This window comes from Homo sapiens, chromosome 9 (assembly GCF_000001405.40).
Source record: "Homo sapiens chromosome 9, GRCh38.p14 Primary Assembly".
NCBI lineage: Eukaryota > Metazoa > Chordata > Mammalia > Primates > Hominidae > Homo > Homo sapiens.
Genome location: NC_000009.12, coordinates 106552918 through 106579442, shown reverse-complemented (window position 1 = coordinate 106579442; position 26525 = coordinate 106552918). Strand labels below are relative to the sequence as shown.

Sequence of the window (26525 nt, the reverse complement as noted above, 5' to 3'; positions counted from 1 at the left end):
CCTACACAGCTGATTCAAATAGGATTTCAGTCTAATGGGACAGGCTACAAATCTCAGTGGTTAAGACGGTGAGACAGACCTGGGTTTGAATCCTAGCGATTTCAATTGTCAGTGGAATGTGGGGCAAGCTCTTTCCGTCCTAATTCTCAGCTTCTTTACCTGTAAAATGAAGATACTGATTCCTATATCACAGAATTATTGTAAGAATTATATTAAATAATATATAAAGTGTTTATGATACTGCTTTGTACATAATAAGCATTTCATAAGTACCAGATACTAGTTTATAATTTGATGTGGTGCACATTCTACAGAATTCTGTCTAGTCTGTCTGGCCACAAGGCCCATGCTTTCTCCACTGTGTCAGGTAGCTTCAATTTATAACCTCAAATTTATCAGTCAGTTGGTCTTTTGTAAACAAAAGGTCTTTGCTTAGTTGTAGACTGTCTATTGAATTTTTTATTTCAATAACTATATTTTTCATTTCTATAAGTTCTAATTCTTTTTAAAGTATCTATTCTTTTCTCAGTGTCTCATTTTTGCAGCTCTTTTTTATGCCTTTAAACTATTTAAATATACTTGTATAGTCTCTATGAAATTGGTTAATTATTGGAGTTCTTTAGGGCTTAACTCTATAATTTTTTTTTCTGCTGATAGCCACTCACAATAGATCAATTGTTGATGTGTTTTTAGTTTAGGATTGAGAGTTTATTGTGAGTGGGTCTTTATCCATAGGAATCATGTTCATTTTTGACTGAAAGTATTTGTCCATAAGAGTGGTATTCCAGAGTCTCTAGGGATGTTAAAAGCCTAGGACCTATTCTGTATAATATTCTAGCTTGGAGGTTCCAGGATTATGTAATATAAATTAGAGCCCCAGGCATACATGTTATTCAAATTGGTGTTTACAGATTTCAAGAATATATTATCCTAACCACAACCTAGCTGAGAGAGATAAACTTTCCTCTTATCTGTCTTTGGGGATAGGCAGCTCATTTCTGGTGTATCCTTTTATCATATGTGTTATTCTTCATGGGTCCTGGTTTTATGCGTGTGTAAGTTCTGACTCTTCCCACATTTCATAAGCACAAGACTTCATTTCCTTTCACAACATGGGCATTAAAATCCAAACTCCTAGATTACCATGAGTGACTGTGCCTGCCCTCTGTCACCTCAGGGAAGCAACAGCATAAGCACACATGCTTACAACCTTGCTTTTGAGTTTCTTCTTCATTTCTGACCTCTGACCTCTGGGGATTTCCCTTTCTTGTGAGCTCAGCCATGCATCTGAAAGGATGTTTGTTATATTTTATCTAGCATTTATATGTGGAAGGAGTTTTTTCAGAACATCTACTGTGCATATTGCTGGAACCACAAGTATTGCATGGAAGCCTTTCTCCTATTGCTAAAGACTTCCCATCCTTTGTTCTTCCTTTAATATGAAAGTCTCTATTGCAAGGATGGTGCTCATAGGAGCTGAGTGGCCCTAGGATTGTTCTTTAACAATATAAGAGGTCTCCTTCAAGCCTTTGTGGTTTAACTATTCCCTTTCCTTTAGGCATGAGTAATCCTTAAAGTGGGCTTTGCCATTTTGACTGAAATTATAAGGTGATATGCAATATCCTAGATAATTTCCATTTTATTCAATTTGCATATTCCTGCCTTTGGGAACATTTCCCCCAAGAAACTAAGAGAGGTACCTGATTATAAAAGTATATATTTCCTATGCAAATTAACATACTTGCAGAATTTAAGTCTGAAGAGAAGAGAGATGCCTGCATTTGCTGGAATACATGAATCTTGGAAGAGACAGTTGCTTTTATTACTTTGGCTAATGACATCTAATTTCTCTCCATAAAATGATTGGTCATTTTTATTGCTCAAGCCCACTGGGTCTTTTCTCACCAAAACCAAAAAACTAGAATCATTTGCCAGAGCAGGAACTAAACATGTGCCAAATGCACATATATACTGCCACTTCCCTTCACTGCTTTTTGTACATAAATGGACCTCAGATCTCAATAAAAGTCATCAAGTCTGTGCAGTCCAGATAGCCTTTCTTTGGCCTGGAGATGTGTCTGTTTTGTTTCATATCACCTCATTCTGCAGTAAACTGTGACTTCTGGGGCACTGGGGCAGCATAATTACTGAGCTACTCTTTAAAGGGCTAAGGCTTCAAAACTGAAGGAGCAAAATGTTTGCTGATTGGCAAAAAGCCACAGGATTATTTTATTTTAACTAAAGATATATGAGGCATGGAAGAATGAACATCAGCTTTGGAAGCAGTTGGAAATGAATTCTAGTCTCAGTTCTGTAACTCACTGACAGTATATTTGGCAAGCTACTAAACTTTTCTGTGTCTCAAATATATGAATTAGAGACTATTTTCAAGGCATAGGAAACTAGTATTTGTGAAAGGCTTAATTTAGGGGTAGTGTGGTATAGAGGAGACAACTTTAGAGCCATCTAGATACAGGTTCAAATTTTGACTGTACCCCATTCCCTTTTGTCTAAAATGGGAACAACATTATCTACCACACAAACTTGTTGTGAGGATTAAAGTCAATAGGAAAACCTCACTAAGCACTTGGTTCACCATATATATTCTTTTCTTTCTCTTGTTAGCATGGTCTTTGGCTCGAAACATACCAGTGCTAGCTAGCCCCTTGCTCCCTGAGAGACTCAGGAATTTGACTCAGGTCTACCCTTGGGGTGCCCTCTGTCCAGGATGAGGCCAATTGCTCAGGTTTTTACCCAAGTAAGATGACCCTTTCATTCTCCTTCCCTTGGTTTTCTAGACAGAGGGGTTATTGGAAGCTGGGGATGGCTCCAGGCCAGCAGGCTGCTTCGTGCCTGCCACCTGGCCCTCCCACGGAGCTTTCCATCTTTCAACCGCTGGGGTTGTGACAACAGGACCCAGGCAAGAGGCCACTGGTCGAGGCTTGGCCTTAGACTCCTGAGAGGCCCCTGGAATTTTCTGGAGACAGACTGGGCTCTGTCAGCAGCCCACAGCCTGGAGAAGAGTGAACAGGGGTGTACGGGTTGTTACTCTGAGTCTACTCCCTCCCAGAGGCTTGTGGTTTTAAAGCTTTAATCACTGAGATCAGAGCCATCCTATTTTATTACAGTGCCAAAAAAGGCCACCCTGGCCCAGCACAGGAGATGGCGGCTCTTTCCAGAGGCCGTCAGCCTGGCAGAGAGAGCCATGGCTGCCAGGTCCCAGAGCTTCCTGCGGGGCTTGTGTTTCCCTTCCTATTAAATCCTCCCTGTGCTCAGAAGGCCGCTCCACTTTCCCATCTCTCCAGTTCTGCCTCTGGCTTCTTTAAAGGCTTCAGTGTTTCCTCAAATTAAGAAACCCAGCTGCTAGAGGCCCTTTGTTCAGTGTCTCTAGGATGACCTTTCAAATAATTCGTCCCCACTTGCAGGGGCTGAGCTTTGCTGGTATTTAGACTCAGAGCTTCCTTGGCTAATCGGAATTTATTATCCTCTTTGTTAGGAGACTATGAGGTTCTTTTTCTCCATGGAGCGCTGTCTTCTGGGTGAATGATACATGGGCTGGCCTGGCTCTCTAATCCTGGCAAGCCCTGTTTCCAGGTTGTGTCTCTATGGGCCCCAGAGACTCTGTGTGTGTGCGTGTGCGTGTGTGTGTGTGTGTGTGCGCACGCGTGTGCGTGCATGCATGCATGCTTGCTTCTATGGAAAATAAAGATTCGCAGGATCTCAACATCATTCTGAGATAAAGGAATCAGATTAGAGTTGAAGGAACATGGAGTCTTCACTTTAACCTTCCAAAAACCCTCCTATGAGTTTAACTATGCCGTTGGCTTTACTACAGCTGTTTAATTATTCTGGCAGATCTGATTAAACTTTGTTCATTGAGTGTTTTTATTGTGGTAGAATATGCTTAACATAAAACTTAACATTTTGATCATTTTTAAGTGTACAGTCCAGTAGAATTAAGTACATTCACATTGCTGCTATGCAACCATTACCACTGTTCATCCACAGGACCTTTTCATCTTCCCAAACTGAAACTCTGTACTGATTAAACAGTAACTCCCCATTCTCCTCTCCCCTCAGATAATCACCACTCTATTTTCTGTCTGTATGAATCTGAAGACTACATATACCTCATGTAAGTGGAATCATGTGATATTATTTGTCCTTTTGCACCTGGTTTATTTCATAGCATAATGTCATCAAGGTTCATCCATGTTCAGCACATACCAGAATTTCCTTCCTTTAAAAGGCTGCATAATATTCCATTGTATGGGTACACATTTCATTTCTCTACTTACTTGTTTGTTTGTTTGTTGGTTGACATGGGTAGTTTCTACCTTTTGGCTATTGTGAATAATGCTGTTATGAATGTTGGTATACAAATATCTGGGTGCTTGCTTTCTTTATTTTTATTTTTATTTTTTTCTGAGGCGGAGTCTCACTCTGTCACCCAGGCTGGAGTGCAGTGGCGCAATCTTGGCTCACCACAACCTCCTCCTCCCAGGCTCAAGCGATTCTCCCACCTCAGCCTCCTGAGTAGCTGGGATTACAGATGACCACCACCACTGACTGACTGACTAATTTTTGTATTTTTAGTAGAAACAGGGTTTCACCATGTTGGCCAGGCTGGTCTTGAATTCCTGACCTCAAATGATCCACCCACTTCAGCCTCCCAAAGTGCTGGGATTACAGGCATGAATCACCATACCCAGGCTCAATTCTCCTGGGTATATACCTAGAAGTGGAATTGCTGGATCATATGGTAATTCTATGTGAATTTATTTGAAGGAGTCACTATACTGTTTTCTACAGTGGCTGCACCATTTTACATTCCCTGATCATTCCAATTTCTTGACATCCTCACCAACACTTGTTATGTTTTTTTTTTAAATAGTCATCTTAATGGGTTTGAAGTGGTATGTTTATTGAATTCTGAGGATGATAAGAATGAGAATAACTGCAATACTAATCATGTATTAAACTGATACTATGTACTAAATATTTAACACACGTTTTCTCCTTGAATCTTCAAAACAACTCTATGTGGTTTGTTTTCATCTCTAATTTACAGAAGGGGAAACTGACACCCAGAAAAGGTAGGTAACTTGCTTAAAATAAAACAGCTAAAAGTTAGCAGAACTGAGAGTCAAGTGCAGGGTTGTCCTTTGTGTCTATGATCTTTCAACTACGCAACTGGTTTTCTAATCTCGTAGTTGTGCTTAGAAAAAAACTTGAGATTTTCCTTCTGCTAGTGCATTGCTAATTCTAAAAGCCTTTAAAATGTAAAGCCATGTGTTCTCATTGTTCAATTCCCACCTATGAGTGAGAATATGCGGTGTTTGGTTTTTTGTTCTTGCGATAGTTTACTGAGAATGATGATTTCCAATTTCATCCATGTCCCTACAAAGGACATGAACTCATCATTTTTTATGGCTGCCTAGTATTCCATGGTGTATATGTGCCACATTTTCTTAATCCAGTCTATCATTGTTGGACATTTGGGTTAGTCTTTGCTATTGTGAATAATGCCACAATAAACATACGTGTGCATGTGTCTTTATAGCAGCATGATTTATAGTCCTTTGGGTATATACCCAGTAATGGGATGGCTGGGTCAAATGGTATTTCTAGTTCTAGATCCCTGAGGAATCGCCACACTGACTTCCACAATGGTTGAACTAGTTTACAGTCCCACCAACAGTGTAAAAGTGTTCCTATTTCTCCACATCCTCTCCAGCACCTGCTGTTTCCTGACTTTTTAATGATTGCCATTCTAACTGGTGTGAGATGGTATCTCATTGTGGTTTTGATTTGCATTTCTCTGATGGCCAGTGATGGTGAGCATTTTTTCATGTGTTTTTTGGCTGCATATTCTTTTGAGAAGTGTCTGTTCATGTCCTTCGCCCACTTTTTGATGGGGTTGTTTGTTTTTTTCTTGTAAATTTGTTTGTGTTCATTGTAGATTCTGGATATTAGCCCTTTGTCAGATGAGTAGGTTGCGAAAATTTTCTCCCATTTTGTAGGTTGCCTGTTCACTCTGATGTTAGTTTCTTTTGCTGTGCAGAAGCTCTTTAGTTTAATTAGATCCCATTTGTCAATTTTGGCTTTTGTTGCCATTGCTTTTGGTGTTTTAGACATGAAGTCCTTGCCCATGCCTATGTCCTGAATGGTAATGCCTAGGTTTTCTTCTAGGGTTTTTATGGTTTTAGGTCTAACGTTTAAGTCTTTAACATGGACACAGGAAGGGGAACATCACACTCTGGGGACTGTTGTGGGGTGGGGGGAGGGGAGAGGGATAGCATTGGGAGATATACCTAATGCCAGATGACATGTTAGTGGGTGCAGCGCACCAGCATGGCACATGTATACATATGTAACTAACCTGCACATTGTGCACATGTACCCTAAAACTTAAAGTATAATAATAAATAAATAAATGAAAAAAGTAAAGCCAAAGGCTTCCTATAAACGTTTGACTTCAGGATGTTGGCCAGTTTCCTGGAAAAAACCCACATAGACACATGAGCATACAAGTCACTGAAAACCTAGTTACCTGGGACACACTCCAAGGCTTCTTTGAGCCCTTGTTAAGCATGATGTTGCTGTGCTGGATCTTGAGGCTGGGGTGAGGCAGACTCTTCCTTCAGGGAGCACACAATCTCGTGAGGCAAATACCTTCTAAGGTAATTACTGTACAGGGTGCTGTGGGCTGTGGTAGAGGAGATGATTACAGTACAGCATGCAGGGTGTTATGACCAAGGAACAGGGAGAGGGCCTTGGGAGCACAAATGATGAGAATGATGAACTCTATCCTTAGATACAGGACACTAGGCAAGAATTCATATCAGAATCATCATGTGAATTGACCATAGGAGGGTAAGCTGCAACATGAGAGTTGGAAGAATGGTGACAGTGGACAGGGAAAGGTATTCTGTGTGTGGAAACAGCAAATACAAAGGCTTAGAAGAGGGAGGGAATGTGGTTTATGTGGAGTGGTGTAAATGTTTCAGTACATCTGTGGAATAAAGGGCACATTAAGGAGTGGCAACAGTAGGATGGGACATAGAAATACAGGATATCCATTCAAAACATTTTCTGTCCTACAAAACATCTGGATTGGTCTTGTAGTTGATGAAAAGGTATGGAAAAATCTATGTTTTAAGCATGAGAATAATTTGGTCAAATTTGTGTTTTAGGGAAATCACTTTTATATAATCTATGGTGAATGGATTGATACTGCAGTGAGTGGGAGGTGAGACATGAGTCTGGCAATAGGAAGGCTAAATATAAGAATAGGGTACATCAATTAATTGCTATGTGCTAGCACTGTACAGAAACATTACCTGTGTTGCTCATTGGATGACCACAACAACTCTGAAAAATCTATTGTTATCCCATTTTACAGATGGGTAAACTGAAGTTAAGCAGGTTAAACAACTTGTACAAAGTCACATTGCAGTAACAGTGGGGCTGGCATTTTAAGCAGGGCTGTTTTAGTCTGAGGAAGAAATGCCAACTGAAATTAGGGCAGCCATAGTAGGATAAAGAAACTGTGACTGATATGTGTGGTATTTAAAAGGTAAAGATAACTAAAAAGGGTGGATGACAAGGAAATAACTGAAAATGATGAATGGATAGATTTAGGGAATAAAGGATAATGGGGCATTGGTGAAGACTCTCAGGTGTCTAGTTTGGAGGACTGGGCGACTGATCACGTCTTTTACTGAGAGGAGAAAGATCATAGGATGGTGGAGGGAAGAGATGGTGGGCTCTTTCTGAAAAAGTTGTGGAGCCTGTAGAAATACTGTATTGATCAAAGAAACTTTGAAATATGGATTTATATCCATTATCATTAATGATGAATCTTTTCTAATTTTACTTTAAGTTCCAGGATACACATGCAGAACATGCAGGTTTGTTACATAGGTATATGTGTGCCATGGTGGTTTGCTGCACCTATTGACCTGTCCTCTAAGTTCCCTCCCCTTGTTCCCCATCCCCCAACAGGCCCTGGGTGTGTGTTGTTCCCCTCCCTGTGTCCATGTGTTATGTGCTCTCATTGTTCAACTCCCACTTATGAGTGAGAACATGCGGTGTTTGGTTTTCTGTTCCTACGTTAATTTGGTAAGGATAATGGCTTCCAGCTTCATCCATGTCTCTGCAAAGGACATGATCTCATTCCTTTTTATGGCTGCATAGTATTCCATGGTGTATATGTACCACATTTTCTTCATCCAGTCTATCATTCATGGGCATTTGGGTTGGTTTCATGACTTTGCTATTATAAATAGTGCTGCAATAAACATACGTGTGCATGTGTCTATAGTAGAATGATTTATATTTTTTGGGTACATACCCAGTAATGGGATTGCTGGGTCAAATAGTAATTCTGGTTCTAGATCCTTGAGAAATCACCATACTGTCTTCCACAATGGCTAACCTTACATTCCCACCAAAAGTGTAAAAACGTTCCTATTCCTCCACAGTCTGACCAGCATCTGTTGTTTCTTGACTTTTTAATAATTGCCATTCTGACTGGCATGAGATGGTATCTCATTGTAGTTTTGATTTGCATTTCTCTAATGATCAGCGATGTTGAGTTTTTTTTCATATGTTTGTTGGCCATGTAAATGTCTTCTTTTGAAAAGTGTCTGTTCATACCCTTTGCCCACTTTTTGATGGGGTTCTGTTTTTCTCTTTTAAATTTAAGTTCCTTTTAAATTCTGGATATTAGACCTTTGTTAGATGGGTAGCTTGCAAAGATGTTCTCCCATTCTGTAGGTTGCTTGTTCATTGTTTCTCTTGCTGTGCAGAAGCTCTTTAGTTTAATTAGATACCAGTGATCAATCTTGGCTCTTGTTGCAGTTGCTCTTGGTGCTTTTGTTATAAAGTCTTTGCCCATGCCTATGTCCTGAATAGTATTGCCTGGGTTTTACATTTAAGTCTTTAATCCATCTTGAGTTAATTTTTGTATAAGGTGTAAGGAAGGGGTCCAGTTTCAGTTTTCTGCATATGGCTAGCCAGTTTTCTCAGCACCATTTATTGAATAGGAGATCCTTTCCCCATTGCTTGTTTTTGTCAGGTTTGTCGAAGATCAGATGGTTGTAGATGTGTGGTGTTATTTCTGAGGTCTCTGTTCCATTCCATTGGTCTATGTGTCTGTTTTGGTACCAGCACCATGCTGTTTTGGATACTGTAGGAGTATAATTTGAAGTCAGGTAGCATCATGCCTCTAGCTTTGTTGTTTTTTGCTTAGGATTTTCTTGGCTACATGGGGCCTTCTTTGATTCTATATGAAATTTAAAGTAGTTTTTTTTTTCTAATTCTGTGAAGAATGTCTATGGTAGTTTGATGGGAATAGCATTGAATCTATAAATTCCTTTGGGCAGTATGGGCATTTTCACAATATTGATTCTTCCTATCCATAAGGATGGAATGTTTTTCCATTTGTTTTTGTCCTCTATTATTCTTTCCTTGAGCAGTGGTTTATAGTTCTCCTTGAAGAGGTCCTTCACATCCCTTGATAGTTGTATTCCTAGGTATTTTATTCTCTTTGTAGCAATTGTGAATGGGAATTCATTCATGATTTGGCTTTCTGCTTGCCTTTTGTTGGTGTAAAGGAATGCTTGTGATTTTTTTTCCACATTGATTTTGTATCCTGAGAGTTTGCTGAAGTTGCTTATCAGCTTAAGGAGTTTTTGGGCTGAGATGATGGGGTTTTCTAAATATAGAATCATGTCATCTGCAAACAGAGACAATTTGACTTCTGCTCTTCCTATCTAAATACACTTTCTTTCTTTCTTTCTCTTGCCTGATTGTCCTGGCCAGAACTTCCAATACTATGTTGAATAGAAGTGATGAGAGAGGGCATCCTTGTCTTGTGCCGGTTTTCAAGGGAATGCTTCCAGCTTTTGCCCATTCACTATTATATTTGCTGTGGGTTTGTCATAAATGGCTCTTACTATTTGAGATATGTTCCACCAATACCTAGTTTATTGAGGGTTTTTAGCATGAAGGGATGTTGAATTTTATCAAAGGCCTTTTCTGCATCTATTGACATAATCATGTATTTTTTGTCTTTGGTTCTGTTTATGTGATGGATTAAGTTTATTGATTTGTGAATGTTGAACCAGCCTTGCATTCCAGGGATGAAGCCGACTTGATCATGATGGATAAATTTTTTGATGTGCTGCTGGATTTGGTTTGCCAGTATTTTATTGAGAATTTTGGCATCAATGTTCATCAGGGGGATTGGCCTGAAGTTTTTTTGTTGTTGTTGTGTCTCTGCCAGGTTTTGGTATCAGGATGATGCTGGTTTCATAAAATGAGTTAAGGAGGAGTCCCTCCTTTTCAAATGTTTGCAGTAGTTTTAGAAGAAATGGTACCAGCTCCTCTTTGTACCTCTGAAAGAATTCAGCTATGAATCTGTCTGGTCCTGGGCTTTTTTGGTTGGGAGGCTAATTACTGCCTCAATTTCAGAACTTGTTATTGGTCTATTCAGGGATTTGACTTTTTCCTGGTTTAGTCTTGGGAGGGTGTATGTATCCAGGAATATATCCGTTTCTTCTAGATTTTCTAGTTTATTTGTGTAGAGGTGTTTATAGTATTCTCTGATGGTAGTTTGTATTTATGTGGGTTTAGTGGTGATATCCCTTTATTATTTTTCATTGTGTCTATTTGAATCTTCTATCTTCTCCTCTTTCTTAGTCTAGCTTGCAGTCTATTTTGTTATTATTATTATTATTTTTTTTTTTCAAAAAAACAGCTCTTGGATTCATTGATTTTTTGGGGGAGGCTTTTTCACGCCTCTTTCTCCTCCAATTCTGCTCTGATCTTAGTTATTTCTTGTCTTCTGCTAGCTTTTGAATTAATTTGCTCTTGCATCTCTAGCTCTTTTAATTGTGATGTCAGGATATGATTTGAGATCTTTCTAGCTTTCTGATGTAGGCATTTAGTGCTATAAATTTCTCTCTTAACACTGCTTTAGCTATGTCCCAGAGATTCTGGTATGTTGTTGCTTTTTTCTCATTGGTTTCAAAGAACTTGTTGATTTCTGCCTTAATTTTATTATTTGCCCAGGAGTCATTCAGGAGCAGGTTGTTCAACTTCCATGTAATTGTGTGGTTTTGAGTGAGTTTCTTAATGCTGAGTTCTAATTTGATTGCACTGTGGTCTGAGAGACTGTTTGCTATGATTTCCATTCATTTGCATTTGCTTAGGAGTGTTTTACTTCCAATGATGTGGTCAATTTTAGAATAAGTGCCATGTGGCATTGAGACGAATGTATATTCTGTTGATTTGGGGTGGAGAGTTCTGTAGATGTCTATTAGGTCCACTTGATCCAGGGCTGAGTTCAAGTCCTGAATATCCTTGTTAATTTTCTGTCTCCTTGATCTAACACTGACAGTGTGGAGTTAAAGTCTCCCACTATTGCTGGGCACAGTGGCTCATGCTTGAAATTCCAGCACTTTGGGAGGCTGAGGAGGGCAGATCATCTGAGGTCAGGAGTTTGAGACCAGCCTGGCCAACATGGTGAAACCCCGTCTCTACTAAAAATACAAAAAAATTAGCCGGACGTTGTGGCGGGCACCTGTAATCCCAGCTACTCAGGAGGCTAAGGCAGGAGAATCACTTGAACCCAGGAGGTGGAGGTTGTAGTGAGCTGAGATGGCACCATTGCACTCCAGCCTGGGTGACAAAAGCAAGCCTCTGTCTCAAAAACAATAAAAATAAAAAAAGTCTCCCACTATTATTGTGTGGGAGTCTAAGTGTCTTTGCAGATCTCTAAGAACTTGTTTTATGGATCTGGGTGCTCCTGTATTGGGTGCATACATATTTAGGATAGTTAGCTCTTCTTGTTGAATAGTTCTCTTTACCATTACATAATGCTCTTCTTCGTCTTTTTTTGATATTTGTTGGTTTGAAGTCTGTTTTGTCAGAGACTAGGTTTGCAACCCTTTTTTTTTTTCTTTCCATTTGCTTGGTAAATTTTCTTTCTTGGTAAATTTCCTCCATCCCTTTCTTTTGAGCCTATGTGTGTCTTTGCATGTGAGATGGGTCTCCTGAATACAGCACACCAATGGGTCTTGACTCTATCCAATTTGACAGTCTGTGTCTTTTAATTGGGGCATTTCGTCAGTACATTTAAGGTCAGTAGTATGTGTGAATTTGATCCTGCCATCATGATGCTAGCTGGTTATTTTGCACACTAGTTGATGCAGTTTCTTCAGAGTGTCATTGTTCTTTATATTTTGGTGTGGTTTTGCAGTGCCTGGTACTATTTTTTTCTTTCCATATTTAGTGCTTCCTTCAGGATCTCTTGTAAGGCAGGCCTGGTGGTGACAAAATCCCTCAGTAGTTGCTTGTTTTGAAAGGATTTTATTTCTCCTTCACTTATGAAGTTTAGTTTGGCTGCATATGAAATTCTAGGTTGAAAATTTTTTCTTTAAGAATGTTGAATATTGGCCTCCAATCTCTTCTGGCTTGTAGGGTTTCTGCTGAGAGGTCCGCTGTAGTCTGATGGGCTTCTCTTTGTAGGTGACCTGGCCTTTCTCTCTGGCTGCCTTTAACATTTTTTCCTTCATTTTGACCTTGGAGAATCTGAAGATTTTGTGTCTTGGGGTTGATCTTCTCGTGGAGTATCTTAGTGGTGTTCTCTGTATTTCCTGAATTTGCATGTTGGCCTGTCTTGCTAAATTGGAGAAGTTATCCTGTATAATACCCTGAAGTGTGTTTTCCAGCTTGTTTCCATTCTCCCATCTCCATCAGGTACTCAAATCAACCCTAGGTTTGGTCTTTTTACATAGTCCCATATTTTTTGGAGGCTTTCTTTGTTCCTTTTCGTTCTTTTTTCTCTATTCTTGTCTGCATGCCTTATTTTAGCAAGGTGGTCTTCTAACTCTGATATCCTTTCTTCGGCTTGGTGGATTCAGTTATTGATACTTGTGTATGCTTCCTGAAGTTCACTTGCTGTGTTTTTCAGCTCCATCAAGTCATTTATGTTCTTCTCTAAACTGGTTAGTCTAGTTAGCAGCTCCTCTAACCTTTTATCAAGGTTTTAGCTTATTTGCATTGGGTTAGAACATGCTTCTTTGGCTCCCAGTGGAGTTTTTTATTATCCATCTTCTGAAGCCTTCTGTCAATTCATCCATCTCATCCTCCATCTAGTTCTGTGCCCTTGCTGGAGAGGTGTTGCAATCATTTGGAGGCGAAGAGGCACTCTGGCCTTTTGGGTTTCAAGTGTTGTTTTTTCTTGATTCTTTCTCATCTTCATGAATTTGTCTAGTTTCGATCTTTGAGGCTGCTGACCCTTCGATGGGGTTTTTGTGGGGGCTTTTTTTGTTGTTGTTGATGCTGTTATTGTTGCTTTCTCTTTGTTTTTCTTTCAATGGTCAGGTCGCTCTTCTGTAGGGCTGCTGTGGTTTGCTGGGAGTTCACTTCAGGCCCTATTCATCTGTTTTGCTCCCAGGCCTGGAGATGTCACTCAAGGAGGCTGGAGAACAGCAAAGATGAGTGCCTGCTCCTTCTTTTGGGATCTTTGACCTCGAGGGGCACCAACTTTATGCTAGTAGGATCAGTCCTATCTAGGGCATCTTACAACCCTGTTGGAGGGTCTCACCCAGTTTGGTGGCAGGGGAACAGGACCTGTTTAATAAAGCACTTTGACTGTCTCTTTGTGGAGGGGGTGTGCTTCACTCAGGGGGAACCCACTAGTCTGGGCTGCCTGGCTTTCTCAGAACTACCAGGAGAAAAGGCTAAGTCTGCTAGTCAGCAGAGACTGTGGCCACCCCTGCCCCTAGGGGATCAGGCCCAGGGAGATCAGGGTCCTGTCCCTGAGCCTCTGGCTGGAGTTGTTGGAGTTCCTGCAGGGAGGCCCTGCCTAGTAAGGAAGGATGGGTCAGGGTCAGGCCTGAAGAGGTTCTCTGGCCACAGTCTGTCACAGCAGGTGTGTTGGGCTATGGGGGACAGCTCTTGGGACCAAGCCATCCAGCCTCCCTGGCTCCAACAAGGGAATAGTGCAGCCCGGAACTATAGAGATGGATGGCACCCTTCCCCGCTTCGTGTGTTAGGCAGTTATGTGTTCCAGTGCTGGCTGCTGCTCCTCCCGCAAGGAGCTCAAATGGCTTAGACAGCAGGCAGAGTCTGTTGAGAATCTGCGTGGCTCCAGGGTTGGGAACCTAGGCCCTGGTGGCATGGGTTTGCGAGTGGGATTTTCCTATCCATGCGTTGCACAGTTCCATGGAAAAAGCACGGTTTCCCCAGCTGGGTAGCACACTCACTCACCACCTCCCTTGGCTAGGGAGTAGGGGCTCCCCTGCCCTGTGTGGCTCTCAGGTGGGCCCCCGCACCACAGCTCTCTTCCCTCCTCTCTGTGGATCATGCCAGTCACCTAGACTATTCTGATGAGAGAGCATGGATACCTGGGTTGCCGGTGCAGGATTCACATGCTGATTACGGTTCTTTTTGATGGGAGCCTCTGATCGCAGCTGCTTCTAGTCAGCCATCTTGGCCCCACCCCCTGAGAAATTGAAACTTTTCTTGATATAACAGCCAATGATAGGCACATATATAATATACATATAATATATATTTGTATAATATACATTATATACATGTTATATATATTATATATGTATCTATTATATACCTACTATAGTATATATTGTATATATTATATATTGTATAAATATATAATATATAGTATACATACTATATATTATATGCATATATTTATAATATATGTTATCTATAGTACATTATATTATACATATATATAATATGATATTTTATTCCCTGGTTATATTTTAAATTCCAACAACTTACATTCTCACCAATATATATTATATATGTACAATACATAATATATTTTTATAAATATAATATATATTTATTATACACCATTATATTATACATATATTGTACCTATATAATATACATATATAATATGATATTTTATTCCTTGGTCATATTTTAAATTGCAACAACTTACCTTCCTCTAGAATTAATGCTATAAGCCCATTCTCTCTATAGTTCCTGGAGAGATCCTTTCAAGATGGGACCTATCCATGTCATTTTTATTGTTTGACTTTTCCCATTTGCCTTGAGAATACTTTGCCAGAGTCACTTGCCACTGCAATGTTTACCGTGTGATAACCTTTGCCATGAAATATCTGGCTTTTATTATCATTTTTGCCTCACTCTCGTATATTGACTTTGGGAACAAAAGACATCACTGTATTTATATCATTCTGTTTTTAGTAGTGGTATTTCCATTTATGAAATATAGTAATTATTGATCACTGAAAATGTCAAATCCTAGAAAAAATAGCATTTCTACCTGTGATGTTACCATCGTCCTCGAACAGTTGTTGGCCAAAGACTCATTTGATGAATCTGATTTATCTGAAATAGATGGTTCTGATGATTCAGACAATTTTTATATTAGTTCTGTCTGAAATAACTCCAAGAATGGTTTTTATGTTTTATTTTCACATTGAAAATCGGTCAGATTTGCTTGACCCTCAAAGAGTGTGTTTATGTAAAATTCAATGAGTGCTGGCAGTGAGCTACATTATTTTTTTTCTAAATGGGAAACAGGTTAAAATCTTTCAGTGGCTCAATATTGCCCATAAGGCATTCAAGGCCTTGGTCATCTGTGTCTTTTCCTCTTCTCCCACTGCCAGCTGCAATGAGATATTTATGATGTAATAAACAAGGCATGCCATTTCATAGCACCATGTTTTTGTGCATGATGCCCAACATACAAACATGGTTTTCTGTTCTTATTGATTTGGAAATTGCCTATTTATTTTTTTAAACACCACTCTTGTTTCCTCTAAGAACTTCCTTCCAGTTCTCAGCAGAGTCAATTGTTATTTCCCCCATATATACAATATACATATTTATAAAATACATTTGACATCTCTTGTGTGTCATTGGCTGTGAGCTGCTTGAGGGTAAGAACTTGATCTGTGTATCTCTGTAGCTTCTCACAGTCCCTTATAACATGCCAAATACACAAAATGTTTCCGAAGTTGGTGAACTAAATGAATGAATGAATATTTATTATGAGAATTAAATATTCTTCTTATAACTATTTATTATAAGAATTAAATATATACATATATATAGCTATTAATAGAATGCCTACTACAGGCACCTGTAGTCCCAGCTACTCGGGAGGCTGAGGCAGGGAATTGCTTGAACCCGGGAGGCGGAGGTTGCAGTGAGCTGAGATCGTGCCACGGCACTCCAGCCTGGGCAACAGAGCGAGACTCTGTCTCAAAAAAAAAAAGGAATGCCTACCACATGATAGGTGTTATAAAAGTATTTTCTATTATTTTTCTCCTGCGTAATTTCTGTCCATATTTCTTTCCATTTGGTTTTGCCATCCAAGCAGATTAAAGGAAAGAAATGTCACATTCCTGTGTAACACCTTATAAGCATTTAATTAACCTGTCCATACATTCATCAAGAATTTGTGATTCCCACAGTCCAAATCTCTGTGAATTTTCTTTCTAGCCATGTGTGGCATAGCTCTCTGACTACACTCTAATACCCCAACCCTCTGTAGCAAGGGTATATTTACTTTGTTTTTTTTGTTTTGTTGAGATGGAGTCTTGTTCTGTTGCCCAGGCTAGAGTGCAGTGGCGCGATCTCAGCTAACTGCAACCTCTGCCTTCTGGGTTCAAGTTATTCTCCTGCCTCAGCCTCCTAAGAAGCTGGGATTACAGGCACGTGCCACCATGCCCGGCTAATTTTTGTACTTAGAGACAGGGTTTCGCCATGTTAGTTAGGCTGGTTTCGAACTCCTGACCTCATGATCCGCCCACCTCTGCCTCCCAGAGTGCTGGGATTATAGGCATGAGCCACCAAGCCCGGACTATTTCTTTTCCCCACGAAGATTTCCCAATTCCTAATTGCTTTTCTAGCTTTTTCAATGGGGTTTTCAACCTCTTAGGAATCTCAGAGGTTCTTTGCAGTAACATTAATCTTTATTGCACAAGACTGCCACATTATTTTGCTTTGGATTTATCTTTGCAGATTCTGCCCCCAAATAAATAAATAAAATGAAATGACACATTTCTACAGCTGAACAGTGAAGTTTGTTTTTCTTCTGTGAGGCTGAACATTTATTGATGAATCCATATTGTACTGACAGCAACTTCTTCAATAATTTCATGGGTTATATAACAGTTGGTAATAGTGCATGCACGTGGGCAGGGAGAACTATGCAAATATCAATAATAATTATGCTTGGTGTATGCAAATTCCAGCAGGTATTTTCAGAAATTAATCTTCCAAATTACTTTTGCACAATTCAGGAAAATTGAAATGTGCATTTAAATAATTGTAGAAAAATGTAAAAGCAATCTCTACTCATTTAAATCACCCAGTTAAGGTGCTATTGTAAACAAAGGGATTGTAGATATTTCAGACACAGAAGCCATACTGTCAAAACAGAATTACAGAGATCATGAGAGCTTTGCTTTGTTTGTAGACAACTTACCAGGGATGGCATTGTTTGGATTAGTTTGTTTTTGGTTTAAAGCATTATTATTAATATTCCTCAAAAATCATTACTAAAAAGAAGCAATATTGTTTTATTTGTTTACATACTCACTTATATGTTTCATGCATCACTGTGTCCATTTACCAACCCATCTGTCTATCAAATTAATGTTTATTAAGCATGATTATATGCCACAGACTAAGGTAAGTAAAGTTATGTGAGTAGGAAGACCTTTTGACTTGTGTCTCCAGCTCAATATGGGCCACAAGTTTACATAGTTTAGCCATTTTGGGGTCTTTACATTTCCTCCATGAGTTTAATATCAATTGTAACTTCATATGAAAGCTAGAATATAGAGCAATAATTAATGCATTTATATAAGCAAAGCACTTTCAATGTCTTCTTCTGCTTTCATGCAGTTTTAATTCATCAAATTATGGCCAGAGGCTTTAATTGCTGAAAGTAACCCTAGGTTTCTCTGACTTTCTTGAATATCTGACATGCATTTCTCAGGGAAAATATTGAATTCATAGATAAAGGCTAGAAAGATGCGCAATCCTTGCCCTCAAGAAGCTGACTTCTCATGGGCATCCGGGACAAGGAGCATTTGCCTATTATTAATGCTTGTGACTAAAAGTACTGCTATCAGAGTCCACAGACATTTCGGGAACAAAAGGTCTCCTTCCAGGAGTGATCAGGACACTTTTGAGATGTCCTTGAGTTGTGCCTTGGGTATGCGTTTTACAAAGGAAAACGGTGGAGACAGCTGTTGAAACAGGAAAGTCCAGGATTTCAGACCTAGGTTCAGCAGCTATAGGACTGTGAAGTCTTAACAACTAGCCTCATCTGTAAAATAGGGATGAGGACACCAGCCTCATAAAGATCTTTGGGAGGATTTAGCTAATGTTTGCTAATATGCTCATTAAATTATATGAAGCAGGGATTCCTAGGTAGAAGAGATGGTCCAGGGTAAAGGCACAGAAGGGAGGAAAAAAGACATATTAGGACCCTGGTGATAAGGCCAGTTTGTCTACTGCTTATGGTTCTTCTACTGCCTCTGCTTTTCTTTCTAGAAAACCAGAGGCAGCAACCACAAATCTATTTGTCTGTTTTGCGATGTTGAATTTGTGACTTGACTGTTTTGTTTTTAACTGCTTTGTCTTTAAAATCAATCAGGAAAACTCATTTTATGCTGCCCCAAGTGGTGGGAGGTAAGATGACAGATACATCACCTGCAAGTAAGGCTTTTGTGTTCCTCTTCAGTTGGTGCTCTCTATTCATTTAAGTGTTTCTTATCAGCTTCTGCCTAGGGATAACCTTCTAATAAAAATACACATTTCCTTGCCCATATGTCACAAGTCAGCTGTTCCTCTAAAGGACATACCTGTGATCTTGAACAATGGGTTCAAAATATATTATAAACCAGTATAATATTCTAGGTTTTGTTTGTTTGTTTTTTGTTTTCTGAGACAGAATCTCTCTCTGTCACCCAGGCTGGAGTGCAGTGGCTCGATTTTGGCTCACTGCAACCTCTGCCTCCCAGGTTCAGGTGATTCTCTTGTCTCAGCCTCCCGAGCAGGTGGGATTACAGGTGCATGCCACTACGCCCAGCTAATTGGCATTTTTAGTAGAGACAGGGTTTCACCATGTTGGCCAGGCTGGTCTTGAATTTCTGACCTCAAGTGATCTGCCTGCCTCTGCCTGCTAAAGTGCTGGGATAACAGGCATGAGCCACCATGCCAGGCCCTAGTTTTTTTATTTTTATTTTTTATTGTTTTTATTGTTGCTGTTGTTTGAGGGAAATACTGAAACTACAAATAAATTAACAGTCATTGCCACCAACTCATTTGATGAAAACCGTTTATTCTAATTGCAACTGAAAACCTGGCTTTTGTGCCCTCAGATCAGATGATCTGTTGTGTTTTCCTATATTTTTGAGTGCTGCTTAGTTTTTCTTATTTTTTTGTTTCCCATGCCTCCACCTGTGATCCTACAAATAGCATACTGATAACAGAAGGCAAACAGGTAGAATGGTAGAGAAAGAAGGTTGGGAGCACAGGAAAATGGGACAGTGTCTTTCTTGTCTTTCACTTATTCGTTTACCAATTACTGCTGAAACTGTGGTGGAAGCCATAAAGACAAAGTCCAAGAAGGTACCACCTATATCTCTGAGGCACTTGGCAGTTGAGAGATAACAGCAATTGGGCCATAACCATGATGACCAGTCCTTCAATGGAGGATGTTCAGATGCTGTAGAAGCATTTAGGTGGGAGCGACTAACTGGCCTGGGAGAGCTGGAAAAGCTTCACAGAGGAGGTGATATTAGACTGAATCATGAACATAAAAAAGAGTCTGGATGAAGGACATTCCAGACAAGATGAATTATTATCTCAGTGATTAAAATCTATGTCAGAGAAAGGTTAGGCCATAGAACGATGTACAGCTCTAAGGGATTCAGAAGACAGAAACATTACATTTCATAAAGAGATAAAGAGAGACACTTCAAGGAGGAAGTAGTATTTTAAATGGGCCATGACATTTTAGAAGGGATAGGTGGGGCTAAAGAGGGCCCTTTAAATGGAGGCTCTTATGAACAATGACATGGGGGTAAGAAAGTTCAAGGTGGGGCTTAGGGAACACGAAGGAGACATGTATGCTTAGAGTGTAGGCTACGTGTAGTTAATATGAGAAAGGTCAGGTGGGGTCAGATGGGGAGAGTTCCAGATGCTGACGTGAGGCCTCTGTACCTAATACTATTATTTGGTAGGAGTCACCAATACTTTATTTGGGAAACGATAGTCCATTCAGCTTAATTCCACCGGTATTTTTGGAGACCTTCCTTGCTCTGAAACAGGTACTGTGATAGATTCTAGGGACACAAAATGAATCAGACATGATTCTTGACCTTTTGAATCTTTCATCAAAATATTTATCCATGTTTCTGTCTAAGTCAATGTCCATGTCTGTGTTCATGTCCATGTCCATGTCTATGTCTAAGTCAATGTTTATGTCAATTTCTATGCCTATATCTATATCTGCATCTGTCTGCATCTGTATCTAGATCTTTAGACAGAGATTAATTTGACTGTGGTGTGCAGGATGTGTGGAAGCAGGGGAAGAGGGGCAGGAGAGGTGAACAGGCAGCAGCCATCCACATGGAAAGGTCTGAACCAGTCCAGATGGGAGGGCCTGAACAGGGGCAGTACAGCAGGAAGGGCACTGTCTTTGGAGTCTGAGGAATTTGAGCCTGAATCCAGGCTGTATCACAAACTCTCCTTGAGAGTTTATTCAAGTAATTTCCTCAGCCTGATTCTCTTCATCTGTAAAACAGGGAAAATAACACTTACCTCTGAGGGTGGATGAGAAGATTTAAGGTGACGTATTAAGCACTTGGCACATGGTTGGCATCAGCAATCGGCAGTGATGAAAGAGGCTGCAATGCCTTTGATTTGCCACTCCCTGTTCAGAAAGAAGTCAACACTTTTACCCCAGTGAGAGAGGCAGGTTTGGTGGCTCCAGATAGGGAATGATGACTATGGCTTTAAGCCTACCCTTTGACCTCTACGTCTGTTTCCCAGGTAAGGAGAACAGATATCCCTTGCTTGGCTGTCAGAGCCAGGCTCACCTTGGGAGGCCCTTTCATGGACTGCTTCTTCCCATCCCACCAATGAACCCACTGACTCAGCCGCTGAGAGGTTCTGGCAGGAAGCACGGCTGCAGCTGCGACCAGGCCAGGTTGCTCCATCTCCAGCAAACATTTAGAGTGGCTCAGTGCCTGCTGCTCCTGCCTTGACACAGAGGAAACTGAGAGCCAGGACAGCGAGTGGCAGCCAAGAGGATGCTGCCAGCATGGCAGCCAGGAGCTGCAAAGACCCCGAGCGCTAGATGGTTTTGCCATCACTGTGGGGAGTGTCCCCAGCTGTCGGTGCCACGAGCTCACCTGAGCATGCAGGACTGTTGCCCAGGCCCCTCACTCTCCCTGGCTGATGTGAGGTGGCTTCCAGGGGCAACAGCACTGTGGTGAACAAGGAGGAAGCCAGGACAACAGTGAGGAAATGTGGAAGAGCATTTCCAAAGGCTGTTTCTGTTGGGGATTCTTGTTTGTCCAAGACTGTGATTTACCTCCATGATACTTAGCATTTGTGAGCAGCAGGGTGCTAGTAGAGGTTTAACAACCGGCTCTGAGAATGGAGGCAGGGAGGGAGTGGGGAAAGAAGCGTCCTGATTTGTAGTTTTTGATGATTTCCATGGAGTAAAAATTTCCACCACAGAAAATGTCAAGGTACCAACATGATAACCACTGAAGTAAAGTTCAGAAGAGATGGGAAGTGTCACATCATTATGAAGTATTTCCACCACAGATAGACAGTAGATACAAATAACCTCAAAACTGTTGATAATAATAAAAGATAGTAAAATTATTAGGAAGTGAGGATTTTGAGTATTTACTGTCTGTGCCTATAATATAATTTATTTAATTGTAAGTTGATATATTTTAACATTTAATGATGGGCTAATCTGACAATGGCCTCTCAAAATTCCTCATGATTTTTTGAAGGCAGTGCAGAGCATCTTTGTTTTTACCTTCTCTGGAGAATAAACCTCCAGTCTTTTGCTTTCATTTGTAAGGGAAAATTGCCTGGCTGACTGGTGTGTGGTAAGAAAGCTGGGTGGTGTGGGGGGGGGGGCGTGTCTTTTCTTTTTAATTTATTGAAGTGGCATTCACATGACATAAAATTAATTCCTTTGAAGTAACCAACTCACTGACATTCAGTACATTCACAGTGTTATGCAAACACCAACCCTTATCTGGTTTTAAAACATTTCAATCACTCCAATGCAAAACCCCTGAGTTAGTTTGCTAGGACTGCTATTAAAAAGTGCCAGACAATGGGTGGATTAAAAAACAAAAAAATCATTTTTTCACAGTTCTGGAGGCTGGAATTTCAAGATCAAAGTGTCAGCAGGCTTCGTTTCTGCTGAGGGCCATGAGGGAGAATCTGTTCCAGGCCTCTCTCCTTGGCCTGTCAATGGCTGTCTTCTCCCTGTGTTTTCACGTAGTCCTCCCTTTGTATGTGTCTGTGTCCAAATTTCCTCTTCTTATAAGGGTATCTGTCACATTGGATGAGGGCCAACTATAATGACCGCATTTTAACTTATCTACCTCTGTAAAGACCCTGTCTCCAAATAGAGTTACTTTCCTAAGTACTATGGGTTACAACTTTAACATACCAATTTTTCTTTTGCAGGAGGTATTACAATTCAGCTGATAACAACTCCGTAACCATTAAGCAGTTTCCCTCTATACCCCCTTACTCTCGGTCCCTGGCAGCCAATAGTCTGTGTTTTGTCTCTATGGATTTACCTATTCTGGATATTTCATACAAGGAAATCATATAACACATGACCTTCGTGTCTGGCTTCTATCACTTGAAAACATTTCCATTTTCATGTGTTTCACAGGAGTATCATTAGTTTTGTGTGCTGTGGTTTAAAAAAAAATGAGGACTAGGTAAAGGGCTACCAAGAGCAATTGCTTCAAAGTTAAGGAATTCTCTTAAAGACCACAAAACTAACCAGCATTTGGCAGATAATTTTGTCTCCTGTTTACAAGAATAGAGACAAGAAGACTGATCAAGAGACCACTGGAATAGTTGACACAAGACAGTTCTAAGGCATAGACTTAGGGAAAGGGCAAAAGAGATCAAGAGGAGAAGGTTTCATCAAAGTGATTAGAAAATGCAAATCACTTTCAAATGCTTAAACGTTACATATTTTAAAAGTATATGAAAGCGTAAAGAAAATAAAAACCATCTATGATACCACAACTCAGTTATACATACTGTAAACATTTTGATATATCTACTATTTTTATCAAAAAATAACATATACACAGAAAACTGCAAAAGTGATAAAATTTTAGAAGGTTAAACACCCAGTTATCTACCTCACAGGTCATAAAATGTATCCTAAGAGCCTTCCTCATGCCCTCTACTACCAAAGGTAATAATTACTAGTTTTAGCCTTTTTTTTTTTTTTTTTTCCCTTTTTTGAGACAGAGTCTTGCTCTATCGCCCAGGCAGGAGTGCAGTGGCACGATCTCGGCTCACTGCAACATCTGCCTTCCAGGTTCAAGGACTTCTCCTGCCTCAGCCTCCCAAGTAGCTGGAATTACAGGCGCCCACCACAGCACCACCAATGCCTGGTACATTTTTGTATCTTTTGTTTCATCATGTTGGCCAGGCTGGTCTTGAACTACTGACCTCAGGTGATCTGTCTGCCTCAGCCTCCCAAAGTGCTGGGATTACAGGTGTGAGCCACCACGCCTGACTAGTTTTAGCCTATTTTTGAGCCAGAGAGAAAGAAAATAAAATTACACTCTTTTATTTTTGGCTTATTTTCCTCACATTTTGTGAAATGGATCCATGTAGTTGTGTGAAGTAGTTACTCTTTCATTTTCCTACTATTCTATGATATGAATATGTGACAAATAACTAAACTGATTTTATTATTGGTGAGTATTTGGGTTATGTCCAAATTTTAGATATTGTAACAATGTTGCTATGTTCTTGTCTTTTGTGCTCATATGTATACCACATACTTGCACATATGTATCTGGTGGGGTGTGTCCTCCCAAGATTTCTTCTTGTGTTAAATATGATCTAGGAGTGGAACTGCTGGTCATCAAGTGCACATTCAGAGTTAGGAGATGCCCCATCAAAGAATCATCCACAGTGGTTATACTACTCTACATTCTTACAGACAGCATGTGAGGGTTCCTTTCCCTCCATATCTGCATCAACATTTGATAATGTCAGTTAATTTAACTTCACCATACTGGTGGGTGTTGTTTGGTGGTATGTAATTGTGCTTTAGTTTGCATTTTCCTTATAATTTATGATGATAAGTTTTTTACATGTTTACTCAACATCTTATATTTTCTTTTGGGAGGAACCCATGCATTGGGTTCTCTATTCTATTTCTGGGTTTTCTGTTCTGTTCCATTGGTCTATATGTCTGTTTCTATGCCAGTACCATGCTGTTTTGTTTACCGTAGGTTTGTAATATACTTTAAAATAAAGAAGTGTGATGTCTCCAACTTTGTTCTTTCTAATGATTGCTTTGGGTATTTGGGGTATTTTGTGGTTCCATATGCATTTTGGAAATGTTATTTTTTCTTCTATGAAGATTGACATTGGGATTTTGATAGGGATGGCATTGAATCAGTAAATCACTTAGGGCAGTATGGACATTTAAGAATATTATTTTTTCCCAATCTATGGCCATGGGAAATCTTTCCATTTATATATGTCTTTAATTTTCTTCCTCGATGCTTTATAATTTTCAGTGTCTTTAATTTCCTTCATCAGTGCTTTATAATTTTCTTTTTCACCTCCTTGGTTAAGTTTATTTCTAAGTATTTTATTCTTTTTGTTGCTATTGTGAATGAAATTGTTTTCTTCTTTTTTGGATAGTTTATTGTTTGGGTATAGAAATGCAACTGATTTTGTGTGTTGAAATAGTATCTTGCAAATCTACTGAATTCATTTATTTGTTCTAAAAATTATTGTGTCTTTAGGGTTTTCTACATATATGATCATGTCATTTGCAAAGAGATAATTATACTTCTTATTCAATTAGATGCCTTTGATTATTTTTTATTTTCTAATTACTTTAGCTATGACTTCTAGCACTATGTTGAGTAGAGGTCGTGAGAGTGAGCATCTTTGCCTTGTGCCAGATATTAGAGGGAAAGCTCTCAGTTTTTCCACATTTGATTATAATGTTAGCCATGGGCATTTTATATATGGCTATAATTGTGTTGAGGAAAGTTCTTTTTGTACTTATTTTGTTGAAGCTTTAATTATGAATGGATGCCAAACTTTGTCCAATACTTTTCCTGTATCTATTGACATAATCTTGTGATATTTTTCCTTTCATTTTGTCAATGTGGTATAATACATTGATTTACATATATTGAACTGTCCTTGCATCACAGGGATGAATTCCACTGGTCATGGTATATAATCCTTTTAGTGTGCAGTTTAATTCACTTTGCTAGTATTTTATTGAGAATTTTTGCATCTGTTTTCATCAGGGATATTGGCCTGTAGTTTTCCTTTTATATCTTTTTATTGTGTTCTTGTCTGGCTCTGGTATCAATCAGGTGATGCTAGCTTCATAAAATACATTTGGAAGTGTTTCCTCTTCTTTTATTGTTTGGAAGAGGTTTTTCTTAGCTAGTTTTTATTGATGACTTCTTTTTGTTACTGTTTAGTAAAAGTTTGTTATTCTGAATGACTCCCTCATCATATCTTAATCTTATATTTATCTTTACCAATTCTGTAGTATGTCTTTTAATTAATAGATGTTATAATTTTTTCTATAGTCCAATTTGTCAATCTTTTCTTTTATGGTAATGCCATTTGTGTTTAATTTTAAAAATCATTACCTATCCCAAGTTCATAAAAATATTTATTCTGTTATATTGTAAAAGTTTTATTGCTTTAACTCTTGTATTAAGCTATCTAGATCTATCTAGATTTGATTTCTATGTATGTTGCAGTGCAGAAGTTTATATTTTCATAAAAACATAAAACTGATCTAGCGCCACTTATTGAGAAGATCATCCTTTTCCTTCGCTGTGGCATTTTAGTCATAGATAGTGAGATTGTTCTTGCATGGTGTTGTTTCTAGACTGTTTATTTTATTTTATTCACCTCTTTTCTAACCTTCATATCAATATATCTTACTCTAACTTTTTAAAGAAGCCTTGTTTTCTAAAGGTTTTCTTCTTAAAGATTATTTTTGCTATTCCAAGCTATTTGCATTTCTGAAGAAATTTTAGATAAATTTTGTCTATTTCCCCAAGCTTGCTGGATTTTGTTAAAAATAAGTTTCGTTGGTTCTTTTTTAACTGATGAGGAGGTTTTAAATTTTAGCAAATGTTTTCTCTGCATTATATGAAGTAAATGGTATGGCTTCTCTCACGGTGGTGACTTGCATGGATTGG

At 39.3% G+C, this 26525-nt stretch overlaps 1 long non-coding RNA gene across 6 annotated transcripts in view, besides 1 other annotated feature; it reads right to left on the bottom strand.

Annotated features, from left to right (window-relative positions):
* LOC107987108 (uncharacterized) overlaps positions 1 to 26525 on the bottom strand; it is a 675821-nt gene that overhangs the window by 25359 nt on the left and 623937 nt on the right. For all 6 annotated transcript variants that reach the window (XR_007061713.1, XR_001746870.2, XR_007061714.1 and 3 more), the window contains one exon: positions 20860 to 20971. This is a non-coding gene — a long non-coding RNA (uncharacterized LOC107987108). The remainder of the gene's footprint in view (positions 1 to 20859; positions 20972 to 26525) is intronic.
* Positions 20122 to 21321: an enhancer, noted in NCBI's record as "CDK7 strongly-dependent group 2 enhancer chr9:109320403-109321602 (GRCh37/hg19 assembly coordinates)". NCBI's record gives its function as "activates an origin of replication core promoter dependent on BRD2, BRD4, P300/CBP, MED14 and CDK7 cofactors, with strong dependence on CDK7, by STARR-seq in HCT116 cells {active_cell/tissue: HCT116}" and the evidence as "EXISTENCE:reporter gene assay evidence [ECO:0000049][PMID:35650434]".